This window comes from Homo sapiens, chromosome X, assembly GCF_000001405.40.
Source record: "Homo sapiens chromosome X, GRCh38.p14 Primary Assembly".
Taxonomy (NCBI): Eukaryota; Metazoa; Chordata; class Mammalia; order Primates; family Hominidae; genus Homo; species Homo sapiens.
Window position 1 is genome coordinate 47,705,804 of NC_000023.11, and position 17,061 is coordinate 47,722,864.

Sequence of the window (17,061 nt, forward strand, 5' to 3'; positions counted from 1 at the left end):
ATCTTGTACAACTTACAAATCTTGTACAAATAGATTTGATTTCCATTGGAAGCAAATTTTCTTTCTTTCTGTACTGGTAAGATTGGGGTGTTACAGGGTGAAGTGGTGAAAATGAGTACACCTTGCTGCAAAAGGGAGTCTATGATAGGTTCAATTCCTCTCTCTGCATCTTGTGAGAAGGGGTACTGAGCTACTACTGATGGGAAATGTTTGTTCCTTTTTCATGCAATGTGTACCGGTTCTGTACTCAGTAGTAGTCCAATCTCACTTGCACATTAAGCCCAGAGACAAGCTGGGACATCTTTTAAGATTGCATCCTCTTTAGAGGAATTTAAATCAAGGGGGGTTTCCATGAGAGAGCGTGTTAACTTTAATACTAAGGTTAATAGAAAGTTTGAAGTTTGGGCTGAAGGCAGAGACATAAAAACGCCTTCCTTATTACATTGTATGGCAGCATTAAACCTACATAATAAATCCCTACCTAAAAGGTTTGCTAAGTGAGGAGTCAGAAACTAGAAAGGCATGGCAGGTGTTAAGAGGGCAAAGGATGTTGGGGTGTCCTGAGATATGGGCGATGAAATAGGTTGCCCAGAGTTTTCAATAGCTTGAATAGAGGCAGAGGTAACAGGTAGAGATAATTCTTCTGAGTGAATAGTAGAGGAAGTCCTATCAGTGTCAATTAAATCCGGTTCTTAATCCTCTACTTTAAGTTCAATGGTGGGCTTTGAGGTGCAACTGAGGATCAGCTGACCCCATCAATCAATGTAGTATTGTCCCAAAGGAGGGGAATAATGAGCCTTCTAAAGGTGTTGGATTCTAGGGAGAGTTTCTTCCTTTTTTTTTTTTTTTTTTTTTGTACAGGACAGCAATTTTTCCAATGCCTCTGCCTTTTGCAATATCTGCAAATTTCAGAAGACAAACTAGAAAAATCTTGTGGCTGACCAAAGATATGAAAGAACTTTGAGTCATTCTTAGAGGCACGCCTTTGTTTCTGTAACAATTCAAGCCGCAAGATGACTTGATTTTAGTTCTTTTTTTCCCTTTATTTTCTTGCAAGCTATTTTCAAATAATTGAGTGCCTGCTTCCATTATAATGCTTACAGACTGACCAGCCCAACCACTATACTAGTTTGGATTTGCCTTTTTGTATCAAGAAGATTTCCGGCCAGAGCAGAAACTGGAATATTTCTATGCTCTGGAGCTTCAGGATGTAATGCTGCATGCCTTTGAAAACCTTGTATACGTCTCTTGACAAAAGCCTTGGGGTGCTCTCCCTCGTTCTGAATACATAATTCAACATTAGACAAATTTACCTTGGGAGGAGAGCCTCTAATATTGTCCCTATCAGGCCCCTGAATATCAGCAACTAGTTGGGCCTATCTCCTCATTTGCAGGAGGGCCAGGAAGGGGTTCCGGCCATCTGTTCACTCTGTGGAGGGAGTTTTCCCCAGGAGGCCGTCTGGCCTGTCTAATAACTGCAGTATGATCATGAGAGGGAAATACACCCCTTAGCAGCCAGTCAAGGTCTCTACGTATGGGGTTACAGATGGCCAATGATCTCTCCAACTATTCTCTGAACTTGGTAAGTCCTTCTGAAAGTGGGGGCAAAATTGCTTTATAATTTAAAATATCTGTTGCTCTCCAGGAGACGTGAATTCTTTGAGAAGGGAGTCCAGGATACATTTACAGAGGGCATTGCATAGAGAGGTCTGGAGCTGATGGAGTCTGATTACAAAGCCTTGGGAAATAAGAGAGGTTTCAAGGCACAGAAAAACAAGTCTTGTTGGGTGTCCTTGGAGCCTGTGCCAGATTTATTTTGTGGTAGTCAGTTCTTACATAAATGACCTCTAAGCTTCAGGTTTTAAGACCAGGCCTGATTTGGGCTTTTAAGATCAGGAGGGTTTTTGTAAATCATCCAGGGAAAGAGAGATAAAAGAAGGCAGCTGGATGTCTAAGGAGTTTTTCCGGGGTTTGGAGGAGCAGAGAGAATTTGTTGAGAAGATAGAGGAGGAGGGAGAGGCTGAGGAGATGGGGCTGGATCTTGAGGAGGGGGGGTTCAATTCAGGGGCCCAGAGAGTGAATAGATCCTCTGGTGGGTCAGGGACATGGAGTTGGGGTGTGAGTGGAGAAGGGTGATTTATAGTGGGAAGGGGGATTTATAGTGGGAGCAGATTTCAACTTTTGTTCTAGGTCTGCTTTTGTTCTTTAATTTTGTTAAGGAAATTTTTAGGGCTAGTAATAATACTTTTCTGAATTTTTTGTTCTGCCTGATCTTCCCATAAATACAATAAGCAAATAGTTTAGAATAAGCGTTCTCTAAAATTGTTTTCAAATAAATTTGAAATAAAATTTTTCTTTCTAATTCAAAGGATCTGTCTTCTGGTCATTGACAATTAGGATCTTCATTGGTGTATAGATTCCAATTGCGACTTAATTCAATAAGGCTTTTATGGAAGGACCACGTGGTAACTTTCCAGGCTTAGGAGAAATCTTTACTAGGGATGCAAGGAGTGTTCCTGGAGTGGGTGCAGAAGATGCAGCCCCCATGATTCAAAAATTCATTCTCAGAGATAGATTAAGAAAGCAAAGACCTTGGCTGGTGCAGTGGCTCATGCTTGTAACCCCAGCATTTTGGGAGGCCGAGGTCAGAGGATTGTTTGAGCCCAGGAGTTTGAGGACAGCCTGGGCAACATAGTGAGATTCCCATCTCTATAAAAAATGTGAAAATTAGCTGGATGTGGTGGTACGCTTCTAGTCTCAGGTACTTGAGAGGCTGAGGTGGAGGATCACTTGAGCCTGGGAAGTTGAGGCTGTAGTAAGCTGTGATCATGCCACCGCTCTCCAGCCTGGACTACAGAGTGAGACCTTGTCTCAAAGGAAGAAAATGATTACAAAATAAATAAAGTTTTAATAAGTTTTAAAAAAGAAAAAAGAAAACAAAGAATTTTGTGGCTACAGGCAGTTAAGGGTCTCTGGGCTGATGGGATTGCTCCTGGGATTGCAGTCAAGTAGAGATTTAGCTGGGCCACATGGTTGCTAGCTGGGTATGCAGTGGGGTCTGCAGTTGGTGGTTCTAGTACCAGAGTCCTAGGCAGGTGTGGATCCTGCATGGTGTCTGGGCCAATAGAATTGCTTCCAGGACCTTGGTCAGTGGGACTGGTGTTGGGACAAGGATCCACTTCAAGGTCTGCAGTTGAGTACACAGACAGCAGCCCTGTTACCAGGTGTGTGAATGCACATGACTCCCACCAGTTCCCTGGGCCATCTCCTGCTGGGTTACTGGGTAGGTCACTAAACAGGCAGGATTGGCTCTGGAATGTGGCTGAGAGAGGCTAGAACCAAGTCACAGGGCTGCTTCAGGGTCCACCGCTGGGACTGACATCTGCAGTTCTGCCTCTGGAAATATGGATAGGTGTGCCTCCTGCTGGGTTCCTGTATGGTCATGACTGCTCCCAGACCATGGCTGACAGGTCTTTTTCAGGGATGGTTTCTGTTAGTTTATTTTTTCCCTTGAATGGGCCATACTTTCCTGTTTCTTTGTATGCCTTCTGATTTCTTGTTGAAAACTGGACATTCAAATGTAATAATGTAATAACTCTGTATATCAGATGCTCCCCTTTCCTCAAGGCTTTCTATTATTTATTTACTTGTTTATTTAATTGTTGTAGGCTGTCTCTGTGCTGAGAATCACCCTGAGGTGTAAATTCAGTCTTCTCAGGTCTTTACTAAGCCTGAGTCCCTTCCCCTGGGCATGTGTGGTGACTTTCTAATTTCCCCCATATGTATGGTTGCTTTTGAGTGTACTATGGCTGGCTCCCAAAAAAGGGAAAAAGAGAAAAATGAGAGAGAAAGGCACTGACCCTTTAAATCTCCTGGAAATCACATCAGTGGGGGTGGGTGGATGGGAGGTGAGGTTGTTTGTTTGTTTGTTTGTTTGTTTGTTTGAGACAGAGTCTTGCTCTATCACCCAGGCTGGAGTGCAGTGGCATGATCTTGGCTCACTGCAACCTCCAGGAGGTGAGGCTTTCAACAGTAGTGGGAGGTGTAACAACAATGGCTGCTAATTCATTTTCTGCAATTCTGTGATCAGAAGCAGTGATCAGTGATCCAAGCACAGATCCCTGATACTGGAAGATAGAGTTCTTTTTGCCTACTCTGCTCCTGCAAGTTGTGTGCAAGCTGCTCCAGGAACATGCGCACGGCTGTTTGCCATAGGGCTGAAAAGTCAGGGATGGGGAACTGCTACTGTGCTAAGAGCTTAAATTGACTGAAATTAACTGCAACTCACCATTTAGGCTTCCCCTGGAAATTGCAAGCCTTTGACAGACTCCAGAGTTCCAAAATAGTTATGTCAGACAGATTATGTCAGTGTAACTGTTATTTCTGTGGGGAGGTGGATTCCTGGTGCTTCCTACTCCACCACCTTCCCAGAATCCTCCTCTAGTCAACACTTTTGTTTTTCACAGAGTTTCACTCTGTTGCCCAAGATGGAGTGCAGTGGTTCAATTATAGCTCATTGCAGCCTGCAACTCCTGGGCTCAAGTGATCCTCCCACCTCAGCTTCCTGAGTAGCTGGGACTACAGGCAAATGCCACCACACCCAGCTAATTTTTTATTTTTTGTAGAGACAGGGTCTCATGATGCTGCCCAGGCTGGTGTCAAGTGATCCTCCTGCCTTGGCCTTGCAAAGCACTGAGATTACAAGTGGGAGTCGCCATGCCTGGCCTTAGTCAACTAATTTTTTTTTTATGAAGTACAAAGCCATTTCAATGGAGAAAGTATTGTCTTTTTAATAAAGGATGCTGGATGTTCTCACTTGTAAGTGGGAGCTGAACAATGAGGATACATGGACACGGGGAGGGAAAGAGCATACACTGGGGCCTGTGCTGGGGGATGCGGGGAGAGGGAGAGCATCAGGAAAAATAGCTAATGCATGCTGGGCTTAATACCTAGGTGATGGGTTGATAGGTGCATCAAACTACCATGGCACACATTTACCTATGTAACAAGACTGCACAGCCTGCACATGTATCCCGGAACTTAAAATAAAATAAAATAAAAATAAATGATGCTTGAACAATGGACTATCCATATACAAAACAAAACAAAAAACAAGGCAAACTTCAACTTAACCTAACACTTTACATGAAAATCAATTCAAATAGACCATAGACCTATTGGTAAAATATAAAATTATAAAACTTCTAGAAGAAAACATAGGAGGAAATCTTTGTGACCTTAGGTTAGGCAAAGAGTTTTAGACATGATACCCAAAGCATGATCCATAACAGAAAATACTGATACATTGGACATTATAAAAATCAATTACAAGTACAGAAACAGTCTGCAGAAAAAGGTTAAATTCAGAGTATCTGCTCCTGGAATGGTTCATGTTCTTGTTCCCTCGAATCTGGATGGACAATCTAGTGTTTGCCTCTAAGGACATGCCAGTCTGCCAACAAAGCACTTAACATCTAGTGTATCTGGGCAGTCAGAAGAGACCAAAGCTGTAAGTCAGTAATCACCAGCAACTGTTGTAGGAGCACTGTGCTGGGAGGAGAGAAACCTGTAAAATACACAGCAACACTGAGCAGAATGACAGAAATGCTGTGGGAAAACTGAGGAAGGAGGAGCAAAGGGTCTGAAAAAGGCTTCCCAGTGGGGCAGGCATCTGAGGTGAGTCTTGAAAGATAAGCTGAATGTTGACAGGCAAAAATAGACAAACACAGATGTGAGAGGTTCAGGCAACACTCCCCCACCCATTATAATTCCAAGAAAATAAAAGGAATACCCATCACTGTTACAATTATGCTTACAAGTGCATTCAGAAGAGGGGCAGTTCACCCAGTTGGAAAGGAAATAGAGTTTTCCAGATGGCGATGCCAAAGCTTAGTCTTGCAGGGTAAGCAGGAATTAGCAAAAGTAAAGGAAAGGCAAGCCTCAGTAAAGACCCTGAACTCGGAAGCCCATGCTGGATCAACAAGAGAGCGAATACTCCCTGATTGCTCGACGTTTAGAGAGGCTGGGAACCGGACTTGTTTTACAGGCAAGTGGGGCCCTGTCATAGAGAACTTGGAAAGACACGCTATAGAGTGGAGCCCTGATCCTGAACATCTTGGAGATCCAGGAAAGATTCCTAAGGAGGATGGTGACATTTTTTTTCTTTCTTTCTTTCAACAGGGTCTTTCTCTGTTGCCTGGGCTGGAGTGCAGTAGCACGGTCATGGCTCACTGCCACCTCAGTCTCTCAGGCTCAAGCCATTCTCCTGCCTCAGCCTCCCAAGTAGCTGGGACCACAGGTGTGCACCACCATGCTCACTAATTTTTTGTATTTTTTGTAGAGATGGGAACTCACTATGTTGCCCAGGCTGGTCTCGAACTCCTGGGTTCAAGCGATCCACCCATCTCAGCCTCCCACAGTGCTGGGATTAAAGGTGTGAGCCACTGCGCCTGGCTGATGGTGATATATTTCTTAATCCATGGCCCTTTGGGAAGACGACCTTGGAGGCAAACTGGATTAGCCATCCACATCTCAGAGACAGGAGTTCATCATGATGTAAAATATGAGAAACCTGAGTGAAAGAAAAACAGCAGTAAAGAGACAGGAGACATTAGAGAAGTAGGTTTGAAGTCAGAAGTGAAGAGGATCAAAAAGTTATTGATGATGCATCTGAGAGGGCCACAACAATGGCTGCTGTTTCATTTTCTGAAACTTCGTAATCAGAAGCAGTGATCAGTGATAGTAGCACAGATCCCTCATATTGGAACAATGCAAAGGAAAATAATTCAAAGGAAAGTTAAAGTACACCTTAGCTTGGATACTGCAAGTACTATTTATCAACTTTCACAGCCACAGAGTGGTAACACTTTCTTTAGAGTGACACAGTAGGAGCACCATCATATTGGACAAACACTGCCATTTTAAGTTCCAGCTGCCTTTCCAGCTTTGTGCATTTCAAGGAAATAATTTCTCTTCTAACAACAAGCAGCCAGAAAGAGCAGACAGTAAAACACAGATAAGACAGCTTGGGCACAGAGGGAGGAGCGGGGGAAGTCTCTTGAGTAACTGCCAAACTTCACCCTCATACAATGGGCCCCAGTAAAACAGTGGGCCTTAATAAGCACATTCCTTTCCCTTCAGGTGCACTAAGATAAGGAAGCTAAAAGCAGACCAGGGGCGGGGAGGCCGGGGTGGTGTATGCCTGCGGCTGCAGGAAGATGTATGGGAACAGACACAAAACTCTCCCTCCCAGATAAGCACAGCAAAGAGACACAGACAATCCAAGCCTCTGATAAACTCTCCCACCCTGAATCCTTAAAAACTCTTCGTCTGACAACAGCAAAAAGAGAAAATTTCAGGCCAGTATCCCTGATGAACATCAATGCAAAAATCCTCAATAAAATACTGGCAAACCAAATCCAGCAGCACATCAAAAAGCTTATCCACCATGATCAAGTCAGCTTCATCCCTGGGATGCAAATCTGGTTCAACATACGCAAATCAATAAACGTAATCCATCACATAAACTGAACCAATGACAAAAACCACATGATTATCTCAATAGATGCAGAAAAGGCCTTTGATAGAATTCAACACTCCTCCATGCCAAAAACTCTCAATAAACTAGGTATTGATGGAACATATCTCAAAATAATGAGCTATTTATGACAAATCCATAGCCAATATCATACTGAATGGGCAAAAGCTGGAAGCATTCCCTTTGGAAACTGGCACAAGACAAGGACGCCCTCTCTCACTGCTCCTATTCGACATAGTATTGGAAGCTCTGGCCAGGGCAATTAGGCAAGAGAAGGAAATAAAGGGTATTCAAATAGGATGAAAATAAGTCAGATTGTCTCTGTTTGCAGATGACACGATTGTATATTTAGAAAACCCCATCATCTCAGCTTAAAAACTCCTTAAGCTGATAAGCAACTTCAGCAAAGTCTCAGGATACAAAATCAATGTGCAAAAATCACAAGCATTCCTATACACCAACAATAGACAAGCAGAGAGCCAAACCATGAGTGAACCCCATTCACAATTGCCACAAAGAGAATATAATACCTAGGAACACAACTTACAAGGGACGTGAAGGACCTCTTCAAGGAGAACTACAAACCACTGCTCAAGAAAGTAAGAGAGGACACAAACAAATGGAAAAAAATTCCATGCTCGTGGATAGGAAGAATCAATATCATGAAAATGGCCATACTGCCCAAAGTAATTTATAGATCCAATGCTATTCCCATCAAATTACCATTGATGTTCTTCACAGAACTAGAAAAAACTAGTTTAAATTTCATATGGAACCAAAAAAGAGCCAGTATAGCCAAGACTATCCTAAGCAAAAAGAGCAAAGCTGGAGGCATTACACTCCTTGACTTCAAACTATACTACAAGCTTACAGTAACCAAAACAGGATGGTACTGGCATCAAAACAGATATATAGACAAATGGAACAAGACAGAGGCCTCAGAAATGACACCACACATCTACAACCATCTGATCTTTGACAAACCTGGCAAAAACAAGCAATGGGGAAAGGATTCCCCATTTAATAAATGGTGCTGGAAAAACTGGCTAGCCATATGCAGAAAACAGAAACTGGACTCCTTCCTTACACCTTATATAAAAATTAACTCAAGGAGGATTAAAGACTTAAATGTAAGACTTAAAACCATAAAAACCCTAGAAGAAAACCTAGGCAATACCATTCAGGACATAGGCATGGGCAAAGACTTCATGACCAAAACACCAAAAGCAATTGCAAAAAAATGCTAAAATTGACAAATGGGATCTAATTAAACTAAAGAGCTTCTGCACAGCAAAAAAAACTATCATCGGGGTGAACAAGCAACCTACAGAATGGGAGAAACTTTTTGCAATCTATCCGTCTGACAAAGGTCTAATATCCAGAATCTACAAGGAACTTAAACAAATTTACAAGAAAAAAACAAACAACCCCATCAAAAAGTGGGCAAAGGATATGAACAGACACTTCTCAAAAGAAGACATTTATGTGGCCAACAAACATGAAAAAAAGCTCATCACCACTGGTCATTAGAGAAATGCAAATCAAAACCACAGTGAGATACCACCTCATGCCAGTTAGAATGGCAATCATTAAAAAGTCAGGAAACAATAGATGCTGGCGAGGATGGAGAAATAGGAATGCTTTTACACTGTTGGTGGGAGTGTAAATTAGTTCAACTATTGTGGAAGACAGTTTGGTGATTCCTCAAGGTCTAGAACCAGAAATACCCCTTGACCTAGCAATCCCATTACGGGGTATATATCCAAAGGATTATAAATCATTCTACTATAAAGACACATGCACACGTATGTTTATTGCAGCACTATTTACAATAGCAAAGACTTGGAACCAACCCAAATGCCCATCAACGATAGACTGGATAAAGAAAATGTGGCATGTATGCACCATGGAATACTATGCAGCCATAAAAAAGAATGAGTTCATGTCCTTTGCAGGGACATGGATGAAGCTGGAACCATAATTCTCAGCAAACTAAAACAAGAACAGAAAACCAAACACTGCATGGTCTCACTATAAGTGGGAGGTGAACAACAAGAACACATGGACACAGGGAGGGGAACATCACACACTGGGGCCTATCAGGGGGTGGGGGGTAAGGGGAGGGAGAGCATTAGGACAAATACCTAATGCCTGCAGGGCTTAAAGCCTAGATGATGGGTTGATAGGTGCAGTAAACCACCATGGCACATGTATACCTATGTAAAAAACCTGCACGTTCTGCACATGTACCCCAGAACTTAAAGTAAAATAAAAAAAAAGCAATTCTTTTCTATTTGTTTTTTGTAAAGGCCATGATGAACCCTTCTTTGTAAGCATGTAGACTTTTTATCATAAACATTGAAAGAAAATTGTCCTATGTACGGCCTTGTAGTCTTAGTTCCTGAATAAAAATAAAACAAAATGAAAAAATAAAAAATAAATTAAAAAAACTCTCAGTCTGTAAGAGAGAGTACCTCTGTCCTAACTCAGCCAGAAGCCCCTCTCAGGTTTATTTTCCAAAGTAAACCTGTCTTTAACTGCTGAGCCGCTTTTCATGTTTCTTTCCTCTTTCTTTAATTCTTACATAGAGCTCACAGTGTACTTCTGAGTTCAGCTTGGATTTCTCACTTCATGCTCCAATCCCTAAACTGAGTTTGACACAAGCTGTGAAGATTTAGATTTAGCTGGGGACGCTGTCATTAGACACCAGGCTTGAATGAGGGAAAATAGCTTCTTAACAAAGATCTTAACATTTTTTGAATGTTCACTTTGTCCATGGTTAGTTAAATGTAACTTTAGTGTAAATTATAGCATTTATTTGCTTTTATCTCTAGGAAATAATATGGAGCCACATAGATTACAGTAATTTGCCATTTTGCAAAAACACCAGAAGGTTAGAGTCCCTGATATATTTCTTTAATCACCAATTGCTACTGGACACCTCCCTTGTGCCAGGCAGTAAACTGGGCACTAGGCATCTGACAGTGATGAAGACCGACATTGTCCCTTCCCTCATTTCTAGTGGGGAAGACAGACACAAGACAGTTGTAAGAGGTTCAGGCAACACCCATATTTTCTTCCTAATTTCAAGATTAAAATAAAATGAACAGCCCTTGCTATATTATAATTAATCCACAAGTTCATTCAGAAGAGAGGCCAGACACCCAGATGGCAAAGAAGAAAAGAGAGCTTCCCAGACAGAGATGCCAAGGCAGCGGCTTGAAGGGTCAGTGGGAATTAGTGGAGCAGTATGGTTATAATCTTCCACAATGATAATATATTTTTGCTATTTTACCATTTGTTCTAATATATTTTCTTTGTGTTTATTTTACATCATTTTCTTAAGTGTATATAAGATTAGAATTTTTACATTCATTGTGAATTGAATCATTATGGAAGGGCCCTCTCAATTCCAATGAATACTTTTTGTCTTAGTCTTTTCAGTTTGCTAGTAATATCACTGACCTTGCTTTATTTTGATTAGCATGGGCCTGGCAAATTTTCTTCCATCCCTTTATTTCAAACTTTTCTGTATTCTTATGATTTGCTAGGTTTGGCATAAACAGTATATGACTGGATTTGTCAATTTTTACACAAAATGACAACCATTAACTGGAGCATTTACTCCATTAACAACTTTTTTTGGGGTCTCTTTTGTAATTTGAATTAAAGCAATTGCTATTCATTTTTTTTAACTCTCTCTTATAAGCACCAAATTTTATTTATTTATTTATTTTTATTTTTTATTTTTTGAGGCGGAGTCTCCCTCTGCCACCCAGGCTGGAGTGCAATGGTGTGTTCTCAACTCACTGCAACCTCTGCCTCCCAGGTTCAAGCGATTCTCCTGGCTCAGTTTCCCACCCCGAGTAGCTGGGATTACAGGCGCCCACCACCACACCCGGCTAATTTTTTTTTTTTTTTTTTGTATTTTTAGTAGAGATGGAGTTTCACCATGTTGGCTAAGCTGGTCTGAAACTCCTGACCTCAGGTGATCCACCCACCTCGGCCTCCCAAAGTGCTGGGATTACAGGGGTGAGCCACCACGCTTGGCTCTTATTATTTGTTTTAAAAAAATGCTTTAAAATTTTTTTATTTTATCTTATTTTAAGTTCCAGGATACACACGAAGGATGTGCAGGTTTGTTACATAGGTAAACGTGTGCCATGGTGGTTTGCTGCACCTATCAACCCATCACCTAGGTATTAAGCCTCACGAGCATTAGCTATTTATCGTGATGATAAGCACCAAACTTTAATATGTAAGTCAATTTTGGGGGAAGGAAACATCATCAAGAACTTCCTTCTGAAACAAAACAATGATGTTCATTCCTTCAAACATCCAAATTGAAGGTGTACCAAAATGAAAACAAAAAAAGTCCACAGAGAAATAAAAAGGAACACAAATCACATTCCAGGGGGTTAGTGCATTTAGCAGTCTTAGCTGTGCTGTCTAACCATCCTTCAACTGACTTTCAAAAAAAAAACCCTATACTCATCAAAATATACATTTTCCATTTGCTGTTTTAAAATTAAAAATAATAATTGAAAAAGGAAAACTCTAAGGAAGTCACAATTAATTGCGTGACTCATTTTGATGTCATGTATAGCATATGGAGGTCAGGAAGGCTATTTGCAGCACACAGGATTAGAGGATATTTGTCTTCGAGGTTTAGCTTTCTTCCAAATGGTGTAAAATACCCACAATTCCAAGTATGAAGAGACACGGACTATTTCCTTTGAGAATTCCAAAGGACAATACAGGCACCCCAGCTGTTCTTCATAGAGAGACAGGGCTTCCGTCAGATTGACAGAGTTCCCCTTGTGTAAAATATTTCACATCTTGTTTCAATACTTTCATTGAGAGGTCAGGAATCAGTCTGAGAAACTCCCATGTGGAATCTTCTGGAGACATGGAGATTGGAACAGCTATCAAATCATTAATCACATAATCAAATTATCTCCCTTCTTTGGCATACCTTTTCAGTACTGGAATGCAGTACTGAACCTCATATAGCAGTCTCCTTTAAGATTATCTAAGACATCACCACAAGTTTTTCACATATATTTCCTACATCCATCAATCACCATTTCGTCAATCTCTATCATAGTGACCATCTTTAGTTTTAGTTCGGCTATTTCACACAATATGCCCCCATCTCGGCCTCCCAGAATGAGTACATCTTTGCCGATGCAAACTTTGCCACTGCCCATGATGGCCCAGGTATATGTCAAATCACTCTATGCCAAATTAACATTCCCACTAAGGATGAGAATATTTCCAAATTGCTTCGAGTGTAGAATTTTAATGTTCTGATAAGGTGAATCTTCATCATATACCACTTCATCTATGTTGTATTCAACCAGGAGTCCATCTGCGGTGGGCCAGTATCTGTCGATGGCTCCTCCTGGAACTATAGGTGGTAATTGCCTCATCTGCCAACTACTGTCCTGACTCAATTCTTTCATTCTTTCTTCTCCTTTGTTCAAAAGACTGTCGATCTCTTCTTTGCCTTGTGCATCACCATCGTAACTCTGAAGGTCCAATAACTCCAATCTATGTGAGTAAATTCTCAAATTGGCAAAGCTGCCGTTTTTTTGTGTGTGTGCAGGTTGCTAAACAGCGGTGTGGTCCTGCCCGGTGTCCACCGGTTCTGCCATCCCCTGCTCCTGGAAAATGGACTGGAGCCCTTTTAGAATGGTCTCGCCATCAGCTTTGGCGCTGAGCATGAAGTCGAGTGTGCTGTGCCATGCCGCTGCCATAGTGAGGCGAGACCCTGAGCCATGCCTGGGGAAGGCGGCCGTGGGAGACTGAGGGGCCGCGCAGCATGTCAGGCTTCCGCCCCATTAACAACTTTTTAAAAAGTTACTGATCATGTAATAAAGGATGAACTTCAAATGTGAATTTATTCCTACTTTCATACATTTCGCTATTTTCCTGCACTTTTAATAAATCTTTTCCTAGTTTCCTGACTTTAAAAAAATGATGTGATTTTTGTTTGTTTTTTCTCATTGCCTACCTTATAATTAAAATAATAGCAGATAGTCTGTAATCCCAGCTACTTGGGAGGCTGAGGTGAAAGAATCGCTTGAGCCCAGGAATTCGAGGCTGCAGTGAGCTTTGATTGCACCACTGCACTCCATCCTGGGTGACAGAGTGAGACTCCGTCTCTAAAAATAATAGTAATAGGCCGGGCTCGGTGGCTCACACCTGTAATCCCAGCACTTTGGGAGGCCGAGGGGGGCAGATCATGAGGTCAGGAGATTGAGACCATCCTGGCTAACACGATGAAACCCCGTCTCTACTAAAAATACAAAAAATTAGCCGGGCGCGGTGGCGGGCGCCTGTAGTCCCAGCTACTAGGGAGGCTGAGGCAGGAGAATGGCGTGAACCCAGGAGGCGGAGCTTGCAGCGAGCCGAGATCGCGCCACTGCACTCCAACCTGGGCGACAGAGCGAGACACCGTCTCAAAATAATAATAATAATAATAATAATAATAATAATAATAATAATTTTAATATAAATAGATAGTAAAATAGTGATAATATTAAATTATTCAAAATAATTGGAAATTATAAGAGGAGCAATTTTCTTGTTATATATGATACTGCAATGATCAATCACCTACAAAATGTAATGCATGAGTCCAACAGGACCCAAAGAGGGTAACAATAGACATTGGGGTCTACTTGACGGTGGAGGGTGGGAGGAGGGTAAGGATTGAAAAACTCCCTGTCAGGTACTATATTCACTATCTGGGTGATGAAATCTTTTGTACTCCAAACCCCAGCAACTCTCAATTTATCCATATAACAAACCTGCACATGGACCCCTGAACCTAAAATAAAAGTTGGAAGAAAAAAAATAAAAATAAGCCAAAACAAAATGTGGGAACTGTGCACACATGGCTGTACTGTTTCTCTGTAACTATGCTCTTGAACTTGGGTGGTACAACAGCTCCGTCCAAGTGTTGAGCAAGCCCGAATTGGACACATTTAGAAAGGGGCGGGACAAGGGTGCTTCCCGAAGCTTCTCTTTCGCAGCTTTTTGGCTGCACCTCACACGAGGCTCCGTGGTTCAGCACCTACTTGATGCTGAGGTATTTTGCAAGAGCTTTGATGAGAGACTGAGTTTCATGATTGGAGAGTGGATGTAGGATCTTTGAAGGAAATTTGGGGGTTGATAATGGAGGTTTTTGGAATCACAATAGGGACTTGCTGTAAGTTGAGTTGAATGCTCCCAGTCAGATCCTCTGATGGGTAATTTGTTTCCATTTTTCTTCTTTTCTCATATTAAGATGAGAAAAGAACTTTAAGATGGCTTAAAGTTCCATCTAAGACAATAAGTTGAGTATTATTGTTTTCATAATAGTTAAGTGTTTTCTAATTTCTTTTTACCAAGAGTTATTTATATGTGTTTCCAATTAACAAAAGCTAAGCCTTTTATTGATTTCTAATGCACCTTATCTGTGTGCTGTGTGGTGCTTATTCATCGGAATGTGTTTAGAGTCCCTTTAAGACTAAGTTCAAGGTCCATTTTTATTAATATTGTATCTCTAGCTTGAAGATAGTATGAGTTCTCCAACTGATACTGTTTTGTTCAAGATGCGTATTGGTCCTGTGTGTGTTCTTGTTTCCTTAATTGCCGAGAGTAGTGACTTGTTTGCATGTGTTGATATATATGATGCACACAGAAATATGTACATATGTACGTATATATTTTGAGATGGAATCTCGCCGTGTCGCCCAGGCTGGAGTGCGGTGGTGCGATCTCGCCTGGAGTGCAGTGGCGCGATCGTGGCTCACTGCAGCCTCTACCTCCTGGGCTCAAGAGATCCTCCTGCCTTGGCTTTCTGAGTAGCTAGGACCATAGGCGCGCGCCACTACACCTGGCTAATATTTTTTAAAATTTTTTTCTAGAGATGAGATCTCGCGATGTTGCCTCAGGCTGGTCTCGATCTCCTGGGCCGCAAAAGTATATTTGTATATTTATGCATTTTATGTGGCGATATTGGGCACAGGTAGGAGTACTTTTCAGAATAAAGACTGTAAAATTTCGCTAGGTGGGTGGGTCAGGGCCGGTAGGCCCCGATGTGGCCTGTGCAGGTAGGGAGGAGGGTCAGGGCTTGGCGTCTTAACATGTTTCAGCGGGCTGTGAGGTGAGGCCGCGTCCTTTCTGTCCCAGAATGCGGAGGGGCTTGTGGTGCTGTAAGAGTCTGGGAAGGGGGTGGAGCCTGGCAAGGGGCGGGGCTGGGTATGACCGGACGCCATGTGCACTGGAGGCCCACAGGGCACGAAGGGTAAGGTGAGTCTGAGCGTCCCTAAACCCGTCCGCCCATCCATCCACCGTTTGATCATCCCTCAATCCATCCGCCCATCCATCCACCATTCGATCACCCATTCACTCTTGCCCCAGGCGCGCAGGAGTGGGTAGGCGGAACCTGGGGAGACTAGCGGAGGAGGCCAGGCAGTGAGGCAGACTGAATTTGTCTGAGGGGCGGGGCCAAGTGTGTTTGGGCAGGCAGAGGTGGACTTGTCTGGGTCCATCGTGTTGGGTAAGCAGGGTAGCCTGTGTGTCTTGGAGGGAGGGGTGGATCAGGCTGAGCAGAGCAAATCTGAAGGGGTGGCACCCAGATTTTCTGGGCGGATAGGCAGGCCGTTATGCATGGAGGTAGGCAAGTTGGGGGCAGATGTGTCCAGGTGGACCAACCAAGTGTGTCTGGATAAGGGATAAGGTGGGCAGGCAGGACCAGATGGTATCAGTCATTCCCAGGCAGGCAGGGCCTAGTGTGTCCAGCAGGTGCAGTTGCCCCAGGCTAGATTGGCCTGAGGGTGAGGCCAGGAGTGTTGGGGAAGGGTGGTTTTTCCCTACCCACTTAGGGCTGACCAACAGCCCTCTTTCTAAGAGCATGGGAATCCTACTAGTAATCTCTGGCCCCTGGTGAGTCCAGGACACAGGGTAGACAGGGAGTCGGGCTGATGCTGAGGGTCTGCCCCTCAGACCTTGCCTGTAACACCCCCAGAGACCTTGCTGTGGTCCCACTGGACACTGGCCACTTGACAGCTGCCTCAAACGCAGAAGTCCGGGCTAGCCCAGAAGTACCAGATGGCAGTGGTGCCACTGGCAGTAAGGGAGGCACCTGGGCAACAGCCACACCTCAGCTGTTGTCTGAAGAGGACCTGCCTTGGCACTGTGACCTGTACCAGGACACTTGCAGAGGGGATTTTTGGCAATCAGAGCCTGGCAAGTGTGAGGGAGGGCCCTGGGGTAGAAGGTTGGGGACAATGAGGGCAGTGAGGTTCAGCAGTGAGGTGACAGGAGGCAGGGAGTATCCAAAGACCACTTTGAGAAAACAGTTGTGTGGAGTGTGTCAGTATTTCCTGATCTGCAGCCTTGGGTGAGTGACATCAAGAAGCTCTAGCTCATGGATCCCACAGGCAGAAGCAGGCAATGAATGTGAAGCACATGAAGAGTTTGAAGAAAAAGGTAGAGCAGAAGGTGACGAATTGAATGGGGAGCATGAAGGC

General features: G+C 43.0%; 2 pseudogenes across 1 annotated transcript in view; one reads left to right on the forward strand and one right to left on the reverse strand.

Moving 5' to 3' along the window:
- Window positions 1,388-17,061, forward strand: part of CXXC1P1 (CXXC finger protein 1 pseudogene 1) — a 29,438-nt pseudogene continuing 13,764 nt past the window's right edge. Inside the window, exon 1 of the transcript NR_033924.1 lies at window positions 1,388-1,582. The product of NR_033924.1 is annotated as a CXXC finger protein 1 pseudogene 1 (transcript). The remainder of the gene's footprint in view (window positions 1,583-17,061) is intronic.
- On the reverse strand, window positions 12,004-13,377 carry SMSP1 (SMS pseudogene 1; annotated as a pseudogene).